Source organism: Homo sapiens, chromosome 1 (assembly GCF_000001405.40).
Source record: "Homo sapiens chromosome 1, GRCh38.p14 Primary Assembly".
NCBI lineage: Eukaryota > Metazoa > Chordata > Mammalia > Primates > Hominidae > Homo > Homo sapiens.
Window position 1 is genome coordinate 6,291,570 of NC_000001.11, and position 20,932 is coordinate 6,312,501.

Genomic DNA, 20,932 nt, shown 5'->3' on the forward strand with positions numbered 1-20,932 from the left:
GGCACCACGTGCAACCCGAGGTGAGGTTTCTGTGCCTGCCAGTAGCTCCCTGGGCTCTTGACACCGACTGGGATAGTCCACAATAATGTGTGCCCCCACCCGGCAGGGCAGCAGGGTCTGGCCCTCGAGACCTCCTTCATGGTATGGTCGAAGTGAGAGGCAGGTGTGGGGCTCGAGGGTGTACAGCGGCCCCAGCAGAGTCCATGAGAAAGTCACGCTGGAACTGTGAGGCCAGCCCCCCGCGGTTTCTCACACACCCACCCAGTGTCACCCAGAACCCAGAGCCAGCAGGGGCCGTGCCTCCCCGCACAGCCTCGCTCTGTTTCCCTACCAAGGGGCAAGCGTGGGAGGCAGCGAGCTGATCTAAGGTGCAGTATCCTAGGAGCAAGCATGATGACCCTGCTCTGACAACCCTGGCCCCACTCGGCCAGCACAGCCCTCGCCTCCCTGCAAAGGACCTGGCAGGTGTGACAATCCTCTGGAAAACAACACACGAGTGTGACAGCATTCAACGGCCCCTGGATGTGACAGAGTCTAGTGGGCCCTGGAGGATACTGGCATAGAAACAGGCCAGACTCCATGGCTGCTATTTCAGTTTGGTCCAAATTCCTCTATACACAAAACAAGATGTCATCTAAGAAAACAACAGTCTTTCTGTTTCTGGTAAGGGGCCCAGTGTTTTACCCAGGAGGCCCCGGCCACAGCCGAGACGAGGTGGGGGCCTGGGCGGCCCACTGTCAGGCCCTGGGTGTGGCTTGGGACAGCGGGAATCAGGCGAGCCCACCCAACCTGCCCTCACTGCGTGAAGGAAGCCAATCCAAGTGAATGTCCTGCCAGAAATTGTGGCTTCTGAAAATTAAGTCCCCCCGTTAGCCTTGTGGAAAGCCTTTGGCAAAGCAGCTCCTCGTCCGAGTTGCCCCAGATGTCTTCTAGGTTGCTAAGTTAATTCCTGGAAAAAGCATTCGACCCAGACTGCAGTTCCTGGTTTTCCCTCAAAATTAATGATTCCTATTGACCAAGAACCACAACACACCTCCTAGCACTCTCCCTTAAAAGTTAATTCTGGTTGTACAAGGAGTTAAGGGTGGGGACTTTGTTTTTTTTTTGTTTTTTTGTGTTTTTTTTTTTTTGCGACAGATTCTTGCTCTGTTGCCCAGGCTGGAGTGTGGTGGTATAATCTTGGCTCGCTGCAACCTCCACCTCCTGGCTTCAAGCGATTCTCATGCCTCATCCTCCCAAGTAGCTGGGTTTACAGGTGCCTGCCACCAGCCTGGCTAATTTTTGTGTTTTGTGCTTCGCTGGAAAGTCTATTTCTTTTTCTTTTTTTTTTTTTTTTTTGAGACGGAGTCTCACTCTGTCGCCCAGCCTGGAGTGCAGTGGCGCGATCTCGGCTCACTGCAAGCTCCACCTCCCAGGTTCACGCCATTCTCCTACCTCAGCCTCCCGAGTAGCTGGGACTACAGGCACCCGCCACCACGCCTGGCTAATTTTTTGTATTTTTAGTAGAGACAGGTTTTCACCATGTTAACCAGGATGATCTCGCTCTCCTGACCTCATGATCCGCCCGCCTCGGCCTCCCAAAGTGCTGGCATTACAGGCGTGAGCCACAGCGCTCAGCCAGAAAGTCTATTTCTTTCCTGATGGTTCTCCAAGGACACTCAGGGACAACTGAGCACGGCAAGTCCTATGGAATGCACGTTTCCCACTATGGGCTGTGCATCCGTCTTTCACAAGGTCACCCTAATCGTGATTTACCCAGGCAGGAGTCCTAGAAAAAATAGCATGGAATATGATGCCACAGATTCTCCTGCAGAGTCACGCACCACACAGGCCTGTGGGGGACGAGCTAAAACACAGAGGACCCACTTGTTTTGGGCAGATTCTAAAATGACATTGTGGTCTATGTTTGTGGCAAACATCTATTGGTCAAGAAAAGATTCTGAGTGAGCCGCTGTCTCTACAAAAAATACAAAATACAAAAATTAGCTGGTTGTGGTGGTGCATGTCTGTAGTCCTGGCTACCTGGGAGGCTGAGGTGAGAGGATCACTTGAGCACGGAAGTGCAAGGCTACAGTGAGCAGGGATTGCACCACTGTACTCCGGCCTGGGTGACAGAATAAGATCGTGTTGTGGAAAAAAGAAAAGGATTCTGCAAAGTGGAAGAAAGCAACGCCAGAGACCTTCCTTCTCCTTACCACAAAGCATCCAAAATCCAGCATGTGTGAGCCTAGCCTTCTCTCAGTAATTCCAGGGAGGGAGGCAGCCCTCCACCATTCCAATCTTAGGTGCTTCTGCCCTAGTCCAGGGTCTCCCATTGCCAGGTGTGTTCTGCAGTAGCAGCTGCCGGAGACAGCACCAAGGCTGGGCTACCCGGGGCCTGGGAGTCTGCCCCTGCTCAGGCTCTGGTGGGCAGGAGCTGTGGCAAGGAGAGCCAAGCTTGCACTTCTTCCACTCTCGCTTCCCACGACAAGGGGCTGGTCTCAGCCAACAGCTCCTCCAACAAGCCGCTTTAATGAGGTGGTGTCCTCAGAATCAGCACCAGGCCCTGACGATGCTGACACCACCCTCGGTCTGTGAGGCAGTGCTGCTGCAGGGGGTGCACGGCCTCATCTCAGCAGACGTCACACTGACAAAAATCACCACGTGTCAGGTGCACTTCACTGTACTTCTGCAGAGAGCAGTCACATAAGACAAGCATGGTGACCTCTGCTCATACAAACTGCAGAGGCCTGGCCTGTCAAGCTGGCACACATACCCCAGGGACAGCTGACACCATTTCCAGGCAGGGGCCAGGTGGCTGGGGTTGGATTTTTGTGGTGGAGAAAAACCACCCAATGCCAGTGCTGCCCTGGGTGGCGTGGGCAGGGCTGGCCGAGGAGGGGCTCCTGCGGGCTTTTCTGTACTGACCCTGCCACTGCCTAAATCATGAATCATTAATTCCGCTCCCAAAATGAAATGTGCTGCCATGAGGTTTGGTGTCCAGGGTCGTGGCAGCTGCAGGCACAGGACCTTCCCAGAGCTCTGTCTGTGGAGCGTTTTCAGAGGGTGAGTTTAGGCAGGTCTTTAGGAGGATAATGGCCCCGTCATATCTGAGTCAAGGATTTTACCAGATTGAAACATCAAGTCAATAAACAGCAAGGACAAAGAAAGAAACCTCAGCTTCCTGTTCCCTGTGGCAGATGGGCACACACCAAGGCCCACATGACCCTGGGTGTGAACAGAAAACAAACTGGTGCAGGGACCCAAGCAGCCGAGGGCCACTGCCTCCCTCGTCTTTGCCAGAAGAGTGGTTACCTTTTCTGATCTTGTCATGAAAATTAATGGCGTCCACGGAAGCTGTGACGATGTTGGTCTTGCAGTGGCGTGCAGCCACGATCCCGGCGACCTCATCCATGAGCTTCATGGTCACACCTGCGGAGAAAGGGACATGCGGCAGATGAGACACGGAGGCAGAGGAGATTATTTCACACCCTGGAAACAAGTTACAACTCGAGCCCTCCCCTCCCACTAGCCACCAGCAAGGGCCGCAGCCAGCAGGGGTGCAGGGTGCTCGGCCGCACGTGCTGTGGCTCACGCGCTACATGGGGCTTCCTCAGGAGATTTTGAAAAAAACGACCATGGCTGATATGCCAAGCCACTAACAAAACAGCCCTTTTCCTGTCCTCTACAGATATCTCACCCTGCTGGGCAAGTTTTGTTACAATATCAACTGGGATGGCTGCAATCCTGAAGTCACAGAACAGCACGTGCTGGCGAGGATGTGGGGGAAACTGGAACCCTCCTCCACTGCCAGTGGGAGCCAAAGGTGCAGGTACTTTGGAAACAGTTTGAAGTTTCGCAAGAGGATAAACACAGAGGGACCGTATAACCTAGCAATTCCACTCCTAGGCAGATACCCAGAAGAAATACATGTTCAACAGAAACTTGTACAGAGCTTTCACAGCAGCATGTACGCATAGCAGCCAAAAAGTGGAAACAACTCAAAGGTCCATACATGATGAATGGAGAAAAAAAATGTGGCCTGTCCATACAACGGAACAATAGACGCTGCACTAGGAATGAAGCTTGAAAACGCTATGCAAGCAAAAGGAGCCAGACACCAAAGACCACACACTGTATGCTGCCATTGACAGGAAAAACCCAGAAGAGGCAAGTCCATGGGGACAGAGGGTAGATTAGGGGTTCCCTAGGGATAAGGGATTAGGGGGATATGGGAATGACCACTAATGGGTACAGGGTCTCTTTGTAGGAGTAATGACAATGGTCTCAAATTGACGGCAATAGTAGTTGCACAACTCTGTGCAAATACAAAAAAAAAAAATCAACAACTTGTACACTTTATTTTTGTTTTTGAGACAGGGTCTCACTTTGTCACCCAGGCTGGAGTACAGTGATGTGATCTCAGCTCATCGCAGCCTCAACCTCCCCAGGCTCAGGTGATCCTCCTACTTCAGCCTCCAAAGTAGCTGGGATGACAGGCACATGTTACCACACCTGGCTAATATTGTTGTAGATGGGGTCTTGCTATGTTGCCCAGGCTGGCCTCGAACTCCTGGACTGAAACGATCTGCCCACCTCACCTCCCAAAGTGCTGGGATTACAGTCGTGCTACTGAGCCAGGCCAGTACACTTTAAATAGGTGAAATGTGTGGTATGTGGATCATCGTCAGTACAGCTGTTATATCAAACAAACAAACAAAGACTCACTGAAAGAATACTGGAGAATACTCGGGCTGCAGATGTCCGCTTTTACTCAGTCTCTCTTATTTGATGGACCACCACTGTGCACATGCTGGTCCCCCACCCCCAGTTCTCATCCCTGGTACAACACATATATTACAATTATTTCAATTTTTAATTTTTTTTTTTTTTGAGACGGAGTCTCGCACTGTCGCCCAGGCTGGAGTGCACTGGCGCGATCTCCGCTCACCGCAACCTCTGCCTCCCAGGTTCAAGCAATTCTCCTGCCTCAGCCTCCCGAGTAGCTGGAACTACAGGCACGTGCCACTATGCCCAGCTAATTTTTTGTATTTTTAGTAGAGACGGGGTTTCACTATGTTGTCCAGACTGGTCTTGAACTCCTGACCTCATGATCCGCCCACTTCAGCCTCCCAAAATGCTGGGATTACAGGCATGAGCCACCGCACCTGGCCATAACTTTTTAATTTATTTTTTATTTTCTTGCAGAGATGGGGTCTTGCTATATTGCCCAGGCTGGTATCAAACTCCTGAGCTCAAGTGATCCTCCTGCTTCAGCCTCCCAAAGTGTGGGGATTACAGGAGTAAAGTAGGCCACCGCTCCTGACTCTTATTTCACTTAAAAATTTAAAATGTACCTTTACTTAGGTTGAACTACATGAAATTGCCAATAGTCAACAATATTTGACTTACAAAAGCAGCAAAGTGATATTAACCAACTTAATACCTATTAGAAATTTTAGAAAGTTATGTACATTCACCCTAGGACACAGAATGATTTTTTTTTTTGACGCGGAGTCTCGCTCTGTCACCAAGATTGGAGTGCAGTGGCACAATCTCAGCTCCCTGCAACCTCTGCCTCCCAGGTTCAAGCTATTCTCCTGCCTCCGCCTCCTAGTAGCTGGGATTACAGATGTGTACCACCACACCCAACTAATTTTTGTATTTTTAGTAGAGACAGGGTTTTGCCATGTTGTCCAGGCTGGTCCCAAACTCCTGACCTCAGGTTATCTGCCTGCCTCGGCCTCCCAAAGTGCTGGGATTACAGGTGTGAGCCACTGCACCCAGCCAAGGACACAGAATGATTCCTAATAAACCCAGAGAGAGGCAGAAAACCAGACTCCATCCCACAAGCGAAAACCAGACTTGTACAGTCACGTTTAGGGTGGGAATCAAATGCCCACAGCATCCAGCAGGTGAAGCTGGAAAGAGCAGAATTAGTGGGGGCCCCGAGCAGAGGCCAGCCAGGGCCCCCTGCTGCTCAGCTCCTACCTAGCGCCCCCCATGGGGACCCCATTCTTCAAGAAACACATCCACCTAATGAGAGGCACGCATCTTGTGGGCATCTGGACTCTACCAACTAGAGAAAAAGATGAGCACCTGGCGAGATGTGAACAGTGATTGGGTATTCGACGATACTAAGGACTTATAAGTGTGTTTGGGAGGATGTGATAGCGCTATTGTGGGTGTTCAAGGTAGGAAGTTATCTTTTAGATACAATATCTGGGATCTGCTTCGAAATACCGCAGTGGGAAAGAGGTGAGGCAGGAACGGGCAGGTGTTGCCCATTGCTGGTGCTGGGAGACGAATACCCAGGGGCTTGGGATGCTCTACACTCTGCTTTTGTGTATATCTGAGCATTCCCAGAATAAAAAGCTAAAACAGAGACATGGGTGTTATTGATTAAAGCATTATGTTTTTATTACCATGACTTTTCCCACAGAAGCTATAAGAAGATGCTGCTAAATGAGGTAGGACAGGTGAGGGGAGGAGGGGCCAGGTTCACGCTCGCTGCACTTTCGCCTGTCCTTTCAAACACCTGGGGCATCTGTTCGGCTCAACCTGTGCTGGGGGCATCAGCATCCCCGTCTTTCTTTTTCTTTTTGAGAAAGAGTCTCTCTCTGTCACCCAGGCTGGAGTGCAGTGGTGCAACCTTGGCTCACTGCAACCTCTGCCTCCCGGGTTCAAGCGATTCTCCTGTGTCAGCCTCCTAAGTAGCTGGGATTACAGGAGCCCGTCACCATGCCCAGCTAATTTTTGTATTGTTAGTGGAGTCGGGGTTTCACCATGTTGACCAGGCTGGTCTCAAACTCCTGACTTCAAGTGATCCACCTGCCTTGGTCTCCCAAAGTGCTGGGATTACAGGTGTGAGCTACTGCGCCCAGGTGCATCTCCATTTTTCAATCAGCATCCCCATTTTCAAATGAACAACGGAGGCCCTAAGTCACATGGAGGTCCGATTCTGAAGAAAGAGTGCAGGTGAAATACCGGGAAAATAGCTGTTTGGCAAGGGAAAGAATCCTAGGCAGCGGATTTTCTCCCCCAGGCAAATAAGATGCCGCTCCGGGTGCCAGGCAGGGCAGGGCACCTCTGGGCTTCAGGTGGCTTGGCTCTCACAGTTCTGCAAGGTGGTTTTATGTTGTTATTGGAAATAGAAGGTGCAGGTTGGCTAAGCCACCACCAGGCTCTCCTGGTCTCTCTCCCATGGCAAGGGGCCTCCATAAAGGCCCAGCAAGCCCAGCCCTCACAGGGTAGAGGACGGTTGGGCCAGGTCCCTAGCCCAGGACGGCAAGGAAGTGAAAACACAAAACAGAATAGGATCATCCGTGTGTCAATATCGAGGGCTTCCTTGGAGGGGGCAGCCTCAGCTTCTGAATTAACCACACCCACCTGTGAGTGGGCCCCTACCACAGTGTGGTTCAGGAGCAGAGTCTGGAATGAGGCCTGGTGCGAATCCCCCTGCCCCATCGCCCATGCCTGGAGGGGCTTGAGTCCCTCTGTCCCCGTCTAGAGTGTGAGAGTCACTGCCATAGCCTGGCTGGGAGTGAGTCCCCATCACCTCCGCCACTGCCGGCTGGGTGACCTTGGGCAGGCAGGTTGCCCTCCCTGAGCCGTGGGCTCAGTGTCTGTCAGGCAGAGGAGGTGACGGCGCCCACAGGCAAGGTGACTGAGGAGCAAATGGGATGACCATGTGGCTGCCAGCAATGGCAGCTGCTATCATGGGATGTGGGGATTTGGTGGACATCTGTTGAGCTGAACACTAATTTAATTTAGGGCTTTGGGGACAGATCTGAGGTTTGGAGGCTGAACAGAAAAGGAAAGAAAAATGAAATAACTCAGAACACCAGGTAACATGCTGGCTGAGAACCCCACACACTTGGCTCAGGTGGGCAAAGGAGGGATCCAGAGGACAGTTGGCCTCCCCTTACCAGGCACCACACACAGAGGGCATAGAGGACAGTCGGCCTCCCCTTACCAGGCACCACACACAGAGGGCACAGAGGACAGTCGGCCTCCCCTTACCGGACGCCACACACAGAGGGCAGAGAGGCCCACCCGGCCACCTCCTGACTAGGTACTAGGTCATGGCTTCAGAGAGAGAGAGAGAGAGAGCGCAAGTGTGTGTGTGTGTGTGTGTGTGTGTAGGGCACGTGTGTGCGTGTGTTTAAGGGGCTTAGTAGCGGCAGAGCTGCAGCCCACAGACTGAGTTCTTCTAGGTTGATCTGCCTCATAAAGAAACTGACTTGTGACCACAACAGCTGGACTAGTGGTCCCACTCACACACACAGCCAGCACAGGTGTGCCACGGAATTCCACGGCATTTCCCACAGACCAACTCTAAATACTGCCCTGGGCAGCCAACAGAAGCTCTGTCAGCCTCCAATGGGGGCCAGGACCAGCTGCATTTGCCATGAAACGCTGACCATTTATATTCAGAAAATGGCAACCTGGTGATGAAGTGACAACAGCTGAGCACAGGAATGACGATGAGCCAGCAGGATTCCAGCAGGACCGTGTGTGCTGGGGAGACACATTGTTAACTGGAGTATGTGAGAAGTTTATCACCAAATGTGCACTATATGTGGCCTTCCTCAGGGGGAGATACGTCGCCATCCAGCAGCTAGTCAGGGTCCTCCTAGGAACAAATGAGCCAGGGACAAGCAGGAGTTTTAAGGAAGGGACACCAAAGCCTAGCATCAGGAGCCAGGACAGCACATGGACACAGGGTCCTGATGCTGCTGGGGGCCGTGAGCTGGATGCTGAGGGCAGCGGCTGGCATTGCCGGGGAAGCTGGTGCCAGGCATGGCCCAGCATGTCACATAGAGGAACTCGGCTGCAAAGTCAGTGCCATGAGCCGTGAACTTTGTCTGTTCACTGAGGCAGCCTGAGTCCATGACTCACAGCTGGCCCCTCCCCTCTCCACAAACACGGAATCTCACCGGACCCCACCCGATCCTGTGATGCACAAGGCCGGCCCTCTCCACAAACACAGAATCTCACCGGACCCCACCCGATCCTGATGCGCGGCCGGCCCTCTCCACAAACACGGAATCTCACCGGACCCCACCCGATCCTGACGCGTGGCCGGCCTCTCTCCACAAACACAGAATCTCACCGGACCCCACCCGATCCTGATGCGCAGCCAGCCCCTCCCCTCTCCACAAACACGGAATCTCACCAGACAGCACCCTATCCTGATGTGTGGCCGGCCCCTCCCCTCTCCACAAACACGGAATCTCACCGGACAGCACCCTATCCTGATGCGCGGCCGGTCCCTCTCCACAAACACAGAATGACCAACACCGGGTCTCACTGGACAACACCCGATGAGGCAGCAGCCTCCCTGTCTCCATTCTACAAGTCAGGAACCAGACACATGGAGAGTCACGCTTCCAAAGTCACACCACTAGGGGTAGGATGGGACCGGACCTGACCTTGGGCCACCAGAGGCAATGCCATGTTGCCTCCCCATCCTGTCCTGTGACATCGAGTCCAGAGTGGAATTCTTCCCAAGATGATTGCAGGAAGGAGCGTTCAAAGTCACAGACCCAGAGTGTCCAGTGCTGGCCACCAGCTGGTGTCATCAACTCAGGGTGGTTTAGCTGTGGGGGAAGGAGGAGGGAAAGGAAGGGTTCGTGTTGGATTTAATGTTCAGAACTTAGGAAGTGCCTACAATTAACCCCTTGTTCTTCCATCCTGAAAAGCAGAATGAGAGAATAAATGGAAGGAGTTGTAATCAGCTCCTTCAAACCGGGGTTTGCCCCATTTATCCAAAAGGCTACCTTGTTGGTATGAGACTCCACAAGGGACCTCATGTTACTGAAAACCGCTCAGGATCCAAAGCACGTGACAGTCAACCCCGAGGGGAAGATGTGAGCGGCTATTGAGTGCCTGGTGTGCGAATACCCTCTTCACCACCCCCATGCTCCTGCAGGCTCCACACGGCACCCCCAGACCACACTGCATGATGTGACATGGACGCCTGCACTGGGTGAGGACCTGCCTCGTTGTCCCTGTGTCCCTGACCCAACACAGAGCTGGCATCTGGTGCTCAGGAAATGGTTGCTGAATGAATGAATTAATCAATGAATGAATGCAGGTTGACTAACAGGTCACAACCAGCCCAAGCAAGCTGCCCCAGCCACAAAGTATGTGGCTCCTTCAGGCAACAATTTGCGTCAAGAATTAGTCACAGATGAGGGCAGGAAAAGCTCATCCGGTCCCAGAAACCCCAAAGCCAGGTGAGCTTGATGACCGGCCAAAAAACCAAGCCCACACTCAAAATGATCTTGCTGTGTGAGCTGGACGGTGACATTTACAGGGACAGCCTCCTCCAGCCCCAGCAGCCAGCACACACGCACCGGCCTGGGAAACCACGCAGAGTTTAGATCAGCGGCAGACCTGCTATGAAACAACAACTTTATACTAACGATGGAAAAGGCCAAGACTGGTGGATGGAGTCAGTGCTATTCTGGGGCCCAGGCCAGGGGGGCTGTCGTAATCCCACCATGTGTGTCTATTATCAGATTATACCCCACACCTGGAGTTTTATTCTAAGGACCCGGAACAGTGACTCACGAGCGGTGGGAAATCAGGACGGTGTAGCATCCTGACTCTGGCAGACAAGGAGGTCTTTCAAGACCTGGGCTGGCCTCATGGACACTGGCCAGGGCAGCAGGCAGGAGGGCTCTGAGCTCCCAAAGGATCTCATCTGGAAGGATCTTTGTCCACTTCAGGTCATCTGCACCTCCCAGAGAAGTCATAGTAGGATCCTGGGCCAACTCAAGGCCAACTTTACGACTCAGGAGATAACCTTTCTCGGGGAAACACTTAGAACGGTCCAAAAACCAAGCGTTTGGCCTTGCGACAGCGAAGGCTCCCAGTCCCTGCAGGTGTTGAGGCAGCAGGATCAGAGGCGGGAGCAGAAACCCACCCGAGAAGACGGACCTGGCGAAAAACCAGTGCCTCAGCCTCCACCCACCCCAGTCTGTGTTTTCACAAATGCACTTTTTAGTGTCGATCCAGTGGGCTTGAGAAAAACATAGAAAAACCATGGTCTGTGTGTCAGCTGAACTCTGCTGGCTACTTAGAGGGAAGGAAAGTGATCTCATAAAAACTGAGATTTTAATCAACCACTGTTGATCACAAGCCCTCTCCTACCGGCGAGACACAACCCTGGGCATCCTGTTGTAGGGCCTCGTGCCAAGCCTGCTGGTTACCTGCCACCGAGAGAGAGCAATGAGGTCAGATGGTCCCTGCAGAAGTGAGATCATTAGAAAGCCACGTGCCCATCGTGTCCTGCGTGTAAAGACTGCTACCACACAATGCCTGTGTCTATGACAGCACACACAAGACACTACAATCAATGTGTTAACTGAGAAAACTAAATTTTAAGAAAACAACCCAGAAAAACATAGTGCCTTCCTCACAACTGCCTTTCTTGCCACCACTGTCCACCTGGGCCCCTGCCTTGCCAGAGGGAGCCACCCCGCTTCTGACGCTGGAAGCCACTGTCTCCCTTTCACTTTCTTCCGCTGTATTTAAAATATCGAGTGCCTAAGTTTTTTCCAAGATGCTTCTTTCCAGGTTCCTACTGAAAAGCCTCATCAATTTCCCCCACCGCAGGCACAACGGGTGCTGCCAACGTTGGAAAATAACTTTGGCACATTACAGTCCACCGCAGGCAGTCCTCATCTCCCAAGATCTGTAATTTAAAAGATGACAACAAAATTGTAGGACCCGCCGTCCTTGGAGCTGCATTTATTTCAAGAATTACGGGGAAAAAAAAAAGACTTTCTTGGCCACTAATGTATACACGTTAGGTACCAAAGGTATTTTTAATTGTAACATTTAACTGCTTATAGGTTTTTGTTTTGTGTTTTTTTGTTTTTAAGTATTGATCTGTCAACTGGCTTAAAAATAAGGCTTCATTTTCTTCTCCCAAGGCCTTGCTCGTGACTGGGTCAGGCTTGCCTGCAAACCCAAGGCGGCAGTTCACAGCTCGGAGCCCGTGTGCCGCTGTCTGTTCTGTGGGCGGCAATCTGAGATGCCCCCATTTCTATATTTAATCCCAACTGACGGAGCGTGGGCGCCGGCCTCCTATATTAAGAAAATGATAGTAACTTCATCTTGTTTTAAATACCCCACCCGTTAGTAATTACAAGAGTTCTGAAAAGATCCAGTTGAGTGAGAACCTGCGAGACAGCCCTGGCCTCTCCCTCCCAGGTTCTGTGGCTGGGACCATGGACAGAGGAATATTCACTAAGTGGTTCCCGGACGTCTGGGAGCATCATAGACCCAGGGAGAAGGGCCAAGAGCTGCCCACGCCCATTGATTCCTTACATTCTATAGAGTCTGAAGCAGGGAAGGGGGGAGGTCTTGACTGCTTCCTGATGTTTGAGTATCCATGCTTCACTTTCAAAATAAGGAAGCAGAGAAAGGGTAGATGGATTTTGCATCCCAACTGCCATGGAGGCCCCAGCAAGAGGAGGCTGCAGCTACACACGAGCCCCCAGGCCCACCCCTAAGAAGGACAGGCCAGTGAGAGGCTGCGGCCTCAGCCTGGAGGCTACCAAAGCAAGGTCGCTTCCTGGAAGGCCCAGAAATTTTGGTGGGGTGTCAGTTTCCTTCCAAGAGTCCAGGGGACGCTCCTTTTGAAGGGTTTGTGTTCATCACTTGGAACAGGGAAATGTTGTCAGTGGGTATCTGCCACGCATGCCCCTGGCGACCACAGCTAAAGAGAGAAGCACAGGCTGGACAATGTGGCACCAAAAAAAAAAAAAAAAGAAAGAAAAGAAAAGAAAAACACCCCCATCCGACCCGTACACAGGTAGAAAAGTACGTTCTTTTTTTTTTTTTTTTTTTAATTGATAATTCTTGGGTGTTTCTCGCAGAGGGGGATTTGGCAGGGTCACAGGACAATAGTGGAGGGAAGGTCAGCAGATAAACAAGTGAACAAAGGTCTCTGGTTTTCCTAGGCAGAGGACCCTGCGGCCTTCCGCAGTGTTTGTGTCCCTGGGTACTTGAGATTAGGGAGTGGTGATGACTCTTAACGAGCATGCTGCCTTCAAGCATCTGTTTAACAAAGCACATCTTGCACCGCCCTTAATCCATTTAACCCTGAGTGGACACAGCACATGTTTCAGAGAGCACAGGGTTGGGGGTAAGGTCACAGATCAACAGGATCCCAAGGCAGAAGAATTTTTCTTAGTACAGAACAAAATGAAAAGTCTCCCATGTCTACCTCTTTCTACACAGACACGGCAACCATCCGATTTCTCAATCTTTTCCCCACCTTTCCCCCCTTTCTATTCCACAAAACTGCCATTGTCATCATGGCCCGTTCTCAATGAGCTGTTGGGTACACCTCCCAGACAGGGTGGTGGCCGGGCAGAGGGGCTCCTCACTTCCCAGTAGGGGCGGCCGGGCAGAGGCGCCCCTCACCTCCCGGACGGGGCGGCTGGCCGGGCGGGGCGCTGACCCCCCCGCCTCCCTCCCAGATGGGGCGGCTGGCCGGGCGGGGGGCTGACCCCCCCACATCCCTCCCGGATGGGGCGGCTGGCCGGGCAGAGGGGCTCCTCTCTTCCCAGTAGGGGCGGCCGGGCAGAGGCGCCCCTCACCTCCCGGATGAGGCGGCTGGCCGGGCGGGGGGCTGTCCCCCCCACATCCTTCCCGGACGGGGCGGCGGGCCGGGCGGGGGGCTGACCCCCCCACCTCCCTCCCGGACGGGGCGGCTGTCCGGGCAGAGGGGCTCCTCACTTCCCAGTAGGGGCGGCCGGGCAGAGGCGCCCCTCACCTCCCGGAAGGGGCGGCTGGCCGGGCGGGGGGCTGACCCCCCCACCTCCCTCCCAGACGGGGCGGCTGACCCCCACCTCCCTCCCGGACGGGGTGGCTGCCGGGTGGAGACGCTCCTCACTTCCCAGACGGGGTGGCTGCCGGGCGGAGGGGCTTCTCACTTCTCAGACGGGGCGGTTGCCAGGCAGAGGGTCTCCTCACTTCTCAGACGGGGCGGCCGGGCAGAGACGCTCCTCACATCCCAGACGGGGCGGCAGGGCAGAGGCGCTCCCCACATCTCAGATGATGGGCGGCCGGGCAGAGACGCTCCTCACTTCCTAGATGGGATGGCGGCCGGGCAGAGACGCTCCTCACTTTCCAGACTGGGCAGCCAGGCAGAGAGGCTCCTCACATCCCAGACGACGGGCGGCCAGGCAGAGACGCTCCTCACTTCCCAGACGGGGTGGTGGCCGGGCAGAGGCTGCAATCTCGGCACTTTGGGGGGCCAAGGCAGGCAGCTGGGAGGTGGAGGTTGTAGCGAGCCGAGATCACGCCACTGCACTCCAGCCTGGGCACCATTGAGCACTGAGTGAACGAGACTCCGTCTGCAATCCCGGCACCTCGGGAGGCCGAGGCTGGCGGATCACTCGCGGTTAGGAGCTGGAGACCAGCCCGGCCAACACAGCGAAACCCCGTCTCCACCAAAAAAATACGAAAACCAGTCAGGCGTGGCGGCGCGCGCCTGCAATCGCAGGCACTCGGCAGGCTGAGGCAGGAGAATCAGGCAGGGAGGTTGCAGTGAGCCAAGATGGCAGCAGCACAGTCCAGCTTCGGCTCGGCATCAGAGGGAGACCGTGGCAAGAGAGGGAGAGGGAGACCGTGGGGAGAGGGGGAGGGGGAGGGGGAGAGGGAGAGGACGTTCTTACGGTTCATGGCAAGACCTCAACCAAATACTCCATATTTCTGGAAAGGGGTCAGTGCCCCATGATTTGAGAGGGATGACGTGCTGGCCACCAGGGACCCGGCTGAGAGGAGGACCCAGTGTGGGCAGGACAAAGTGAGTTCCTGGGACAGGTGCCTATAGGATGCTTGGACTGGAGTGATATGAACCCCACGCCCAGGCTTTCAGGGTTGACACCATCTCGGGGTTCAAGGTTCAAGTTCACCAGTCCCCACGTCCCGCTCCCCCGCTGAAGCATCAGGATGGACGTGAAGCTGTTCTTCAGAACAGAAGAACCTGGAGAACGATGTTTTCAAACACCAAGATCCTAGAAGGCGAGTACTAGAAGGAATTTAACTGCAGCCTGTGCCACTCAGCTTCACGAGGAAGAAAGCGGCGTCCCAAAGCATTTGTTTGTTCACCTCTTGATCCCCCTAGACCAGAAGTTCCTCAAGAGTAGGGAACAGCTCTTCGTCCACCTTTTTCCTTCCTTGCCCCAACACTGAGGGTCTGGTGTGTTGTGTCCCACGTAGCAGTGGGGGCTCCGGCCAAACAAGGTCACGGAATTGGAAAAGAGTAACTGTGCCCTCTTTTGCATTTTTCAGTGAAAGTCAACTCCTCCTGCAGGTGCAAAAGATTGTTTTTTCACAACTGCCCCAAGAAGACCAAGTGAACAAGAGCGTCTTGGTGGAGGCCTCACTTGCGTCCCCTCCCATGTTTTCTCTGCCTTCCCTTTCCTCTGCCTCCTCCTATAGTCTCAGGCTAAGCTGTGCTGTCCCCTGGCCTCAAGACCCCCAGCAGCGTTGTTTGGCTCCCCAGCAGCTAGACACCTGCATGGATGTTTGTCGCAGAAGGTTTGACTCCCAACCAGCCAGCAGGGCTGTGTCTTCTTCACAGTGTCCCTGGTGGAGCACGGCGGGGCTCGGCACACAGGAGGTGCCTGGTCACTGGTTCTCGAGTTAGAGAGCGGTCATTACGTGTTTCTCACGTGCAGCGCACGTGCAGCCTGGCACAATCCTCTGGGTGGGGCTGACTGCGCGGCACCAGCACAGTCCGCAGTCCTTCCCACGCAGGACCTTCATTTTTCCCAGTCCAGTCATTCAGCTACTGAGTGCTGACTCCATGCCAGGCCCTGCGCTAAGTGGGAATGCAGGAGTGAACAGACAGACAGAGGTCACAGGAAAGTGTGTCAGGAGTGATGGTGCCTTGGAATAAAAAGTAAGCTGAGGCAGTCTAATTTATACAGAGTGCTCATGAGAGGTCTCTTTCCTTTTCTTCAGAGACCTGGAGAAAAACACAGGCAGCCTTACAGTTGTCTGGGTAACCCAGGTAGAGAGAAAGAACCAAGACCCTGGCAGAGGGAACAGCAACAGGCGGAGGGAAGAGCAACCAGGCAGAGGGAACAGTAACAGGAGGAGGGGACAGCAACAGACAGAGGGAACCACAACAGGCGGAGGGAACCACGACCAGGCGGGGGAACTGCAACAGGCGGAGGGAACTGCAACCAGGCAGAGGGAACCGCAGCAGGCAGAAGGAACAGCCACAGGTGGAGGGAACTGTGACCGGGCAGAGGGAACTACAACTGGGCAGAGGGAACCACAAACAGGCAGAGGGAACCACAACCAGACAGAGGGAACTACAACTGGGCAGAGGGAACCACAAACAGGCAGAGGGAACCACAACAGGCAGAAGGAACAGCAACAGGTGGAGGAAACTGCAACCAGGCAGAGGGAACCACAACCAGGCAGAGGGAACTACAACCAGGCAGAGGGAACCGCAACAGGCAGAAGGAACAGCCACAGGCAGAGGGAACAGTGACCAAAGGGAACTACAACCAGGCAGAGGGAACCACAACAGGCAGAAGGAACAGCCACAGGCAGGGGGAACAGCGACCAGAGGGAACTACAACCGGGCAGAGGGAACCACAACAGGCAGAAGGAACAGCAACAGGCAGAGGGAACCACGACCAGGCAGAGGGAACTACAACCAGGCAGAGGGAACCGCAACAGGCAGAAGGAACAGCCACAGGCAGAGGGAACAGTGACCAGAGGGAACTACAACCGGGCAGAGGGAACCACAACAGGCAGAAGGAACAGCCACAGGCAGGGGGAACAGCGACCAGAGAGAACTACAACCGGGCAGAGGGAACCACAACAGGCAGAAGGAACAGCAACAGGCAGAGGGAACCACGACCAGGTGGAGAGAACTGCAACAGGCAGAGGGAACCACAACCAGGCAGAGGGAACTACAACCGGGCAGAGGGAACCACAACAGGCAGAAGGAACAGCCACAGGCGGAGGGAACAGCAACCAGAGGGAACTACAACTGGGCAGAGGGAACTACAACCGGGCAGAGGGAACCACAACAGGCAGAAGGAACAGCAACAGGCAGAAGGAACAGCAACAGGCAGAGGGAACCACGACCAGGCAGAGGGAACAGCCACAGGCAGAGGGAACCGCAACCAGGCAGAGAGAACCATGACCAGGTGGAGAGAACTGCAACCACGTGAAGGGAACAGTGACTGGATGGAAGGAAAAGCGACTGGGCGGAGGGAAAAGCGACTGGGCGGAGGGAACAGCGACCGGACAGAGGGCTCCCAGCACAGCCAGTACATCTCCCCAGACCCTCCTAGACTGTCATAGCTGGCGCAGTCAGTGGCTCTTTACTGATAAACTTATTTGTAGACTGAAGATAGCACAGAATAGAAAACCACTACGTCCTGGCCACTATTTTCTGCCATGACAGCACTCACCGCCAAGGCCGATCAACAGTCATGTTCGCCCTGTCGGCTTTCATTTACTCCCTTGACCCAGGTGTGCACACTGTGACTTGGGGCTGGCAGAGCAGGCAAAACAGACGTGGTCTCCAGCCTCGGCAGCAGAGGCCGAGTCATCCCAGTTAAGGGGCTCAGTCATGACCTCACACCCACATTCTGCAAACCAGGTGCCAGGGCAGTGCCCAGTAGGCTGCAACTAGAGGGTGCTTGGACTTGGACGGGACAGCGGAACAAGCTCTGATGGCCCAAACTTTACAGGTTCTGTGTTGGTAAAGACTTGGATTTGGGGGATTGCAGTAGGGGGCTGGGAGGACAGCTCCAAGATATGGGGAGAGGAGGGACCCAGAGACCCAGACAGAGACATAAAGTCGGCCTGCTCCTGCCCTGAGTCTTTCCGCCTCCTTCCTGTGGGTGGATTTTGTTATTTTTTTTTTCCAGTTCCAACACTTAGGTATTTTTTATTTTTCCTTTTAAGTAATAAGCTCAAAGTTTGTCACTTTTACTCCGAAAACATCTTTAGCTATCTCCCCGATTTTGATAGGAAGTATTCAGTTTTCATTATCTTCTACATAATCATAAGTCCAGACGTTACTTTTTCTTTGGCCGGCAGTTATTTGCAGGAGTGTTCCATTTCCAGGGGCTATGTTCTCGTTAAGGAGGCTTAGGCTTAATGGGTCTCACTTTAGGGAACTTATAATTAAAACGCTCTTTGTGGTCAAGTGCATGATCCTATTTTGTAAACGCTCCCCTGGATATGAGAAAAAAGCTTGAGTTCCCCATGGAGCAGAACATTCTCTATGTCTGTAATAATAAAACTAATAAAGTAAATGTAATAAAAGTTATGAAAGTAACTGATCTTTCTTAAATGCCTCCCATGTGCTGCCTTCCCTGTGTTATCTCGTCTGTTTGTAATCCCTGCATTATCTCACTGGTGGGGAGGAGAGAAAGGCCCAGAGAGTTTAGGTTAGGTGAGGGCTGCCACAGGTCACAGCCTCAGGGCACCGTTCACACGTCACCTTCAGAAGTTAGGACAAGGACAGCAAGTGGGGAATCCAGAGGAAGAGCAGGTCCAAGGTGAAGCTGCCACAGGCTGCCAGAGCTTGGGAGTAACAACTGAGCTGGATATTAGAAAATCTGTCAGTTGCCACTTGGAGGCGGGAGCTGAGGCCGTGGGGTCAGGTGAGCTCACGGGAGAAAAGGTGGGAAGAGGGTGAGGGCAGACCTCAGGGGCACACCCACACTCAGGGGCAGGTGAAAGAGGAGGAGGCAGAGCCTCCAGAGAGCCCCAGGGTCCTCCCCCTGATGTGCGCAGAACCACTCGGGGTGCGATCAACATTCAGACACCCAGGCCCATTCCCCAGCCACCCTGGCGCCCACCAGCGTGGGAGGATGAAGGCCTTGGAAAGCATAATGGCCTGAAATCCTGTGAGGGGACCTCAGGGTGGCCAGGTCAGTGGTGTCCAATGCTCTGGAGAGGTCCAGGGACATGGGTGGGAGATTGCTGGACATAGGGACACGGTTGCTGGATCCATTGAGACAAACCTACACTCTAGCTGTGGGTTTCTGAGGCCCCTGAATCATCAGAGCCACCCAGGGCACTTGTTGCTAAAAATACAGGTTTCTGGGCCCCAGCCCAGCCCTGCTGCAGCAAAACCTCCAGGAGAAGGGCTGGGGAATCTGTTTGTTTGTTTTGTTGTTGTTGTTGTTGCTTTTTGAGACAGAGTCTTGTTCTGTCACCCAGGCTGGATGGAGTGCAGTGGTATGATCTTGGCTCACTGTAACCTCCACCTCCCAGGTTCAAGTGATTATCCTGCCTCAGCCTCCCAAGTAGCTGGGATTACAGGTACCTGCCACTACACCTGGCTAATTTTTGTATTTTTAGTAGAGACGAGATTTCATCATGATGGCCAGGCTGGTCTTGAACTCCTGACCTCAAGTTATCCACCTGCCTTGGCCTCCCAAAGTGCTGGGATTACAGGTGTGAGCCACCACGTTCAGCCGGAATCTGCACTTTTAACAAGCACAAAGATGGTTTCTAAGGCTCAGATGAGTTTAGGAAACTCTATTGTGGCCCCTCTTCCCTGCCACATGCTCCATCCTGTGCTTCCCAGTACCATGGGAGCTGAGCAAGCTCTCCCGATGAGGATACCCACCTTGACTTCTGTTTCAGAGCAGAGTTAGTTTTTACTCAGAGCCGATGTGATCAGTAAACGTTGAGGTTCTTTTCTAAGCCAGAGAACAACCCATGCCCTCCCTCCATTCCCCTCACGCTCTAAAGACCCTGATACAGGAACCGGAGAAGCAACCAGAACAACCCGGATCATCCCATGGACGAGGGCCCCATGAGGGCCACATCTAGGCTGAAATGAGAGAGACAGGCTGATGTACCACAAAGGTGCGGTGTTGGGGGTGCCAGCCGGGTCAGTTCCCCCAACAAAACCGGTCCAGGGCAGGGCTGGAGCTGCCGCTGTCCGCAAGGTTCAATCTGCCCCTCAAGGTATCTCAACTCCCTCCGTCCCCAGCTATTGGGGTCTCTTGTGGTATAATTCAGGGAGGATCACAGTAACTAACTGTAGGAATGAGGTTCTTCTTCCGGCTTCTCAAAATAGCTCAAAATGGGTACTAGGCTGCTCACTTAAGGGTACCCAGGAAGATGACAAGAAGGATTTCAGAACTGGGAAACTTGCTGAGAAGAAGGGAAACACACTCATGGACACACGAGTCCAGGAGCGCCCCTTTCTCACAGCCGTTTCTCTTTCCCAGGGTAGGACGTTTACCGCGGCAGTGCTGCCCCAGCCTGTCCCCGAGAATTCCCTGGGGAGCTTGGGACACTACAGCTCCTGGACACCCCTCACCCCGACTCCCAGGGTCTGGGTCACCTGTCGGGTGGGGTCTGGGTGTCTGTGGTTTTAAGAGTTCCCCAAGTGACCTTAATAGGCAGCAGAGACGAGGTCACAGATCCAACCTCTCAGGGGAGGCGCCAACATCACCTCAAGTGGAGGAGACATACAGACCGGATCTGACGGAGAAGTGAGAAGAGGGCAGGATGGAGAGGAAGGGCTGGCTCTAAGCAAAAGGAGGCTGCGTCTCCCTCGGTAGAGCTGGTGGCCGGGGAAGGAGCCTGAGATAGAGGGAAAGGCTCCAAAGCTAACCACAGGATGGGCGGTTAGCAGGGGCCAGGGGAGATGGTTAAGGGGTATTACAAAATTGAAAGAATGAATAAGCCCTACTATTCGACAGCACAACAGGGTGACCACAGTCAATAATAACGTAATTGTACATTTCAAAATAACTAAAAGAGTGTAAGTGGATTGTTTGTAACACAAAAGATAAATGCTTGAGGAAATGGATACCTCATTCCCCATGATGTGCTTTCTTTCTTTCCCTCCCTCCCTCCCTCCCCCTCTCTCTATCTCTCCCTTTCTTTCTTTATTTCTTTATTTCGAGGCAGAGTCTCGCTCTGT

The 20,932-nt window shown here is 53.5% G+C and overlaps 1 protein-coding gene across 5 annotated transcripts in view, besides 1 other annotated feature; it reads right to left on the reverse strand.

Annotated features, from left to right (window-relative positions):
• Positions 1 to 20,932, reverse strand: part of ACOT7 (acyl-CoA thioesterase 7) — a 129,496-nt gene that overhangs the window by 27,298 nt on the left and 81,266 nt on the right. For all 5 annotated transcript variants that reach the window (NM_007274.4, NM_181864.3, XM_047443399.1 and 2 more), the window contains exon 7: positions 3,295 to 3,411. In NM_007274.4, coding sequence (NP_009205.3) covers positions 3,295 to 3,411 — 117 coding nt within the window. The remainder of the gene's footprint in view (positions 1 to 3,294; positions 3,412 to 20,932) is intronic.
• Positions 9,643 to 10,842: an enhancer, noted in NCBI's record as "P300/CBP strongly-dependent group 1 enhancer chr1:6361272-6362471 (GRCh37/hg19 assembly coordinates)". NCBI's record gives its function as "activates an origin of replication core promoter dependent on BRD2, BRD4, P300/CBP, MED14 and CDK7 cofactors, with strong dependence on P300/CBP, by STARR-seq in HCT116 cells {active_cell/tissue: HCT116}" and the evidence as "EXISTENCE:reporter gene assay evidence [ECO:0000049][PMID:35650434]".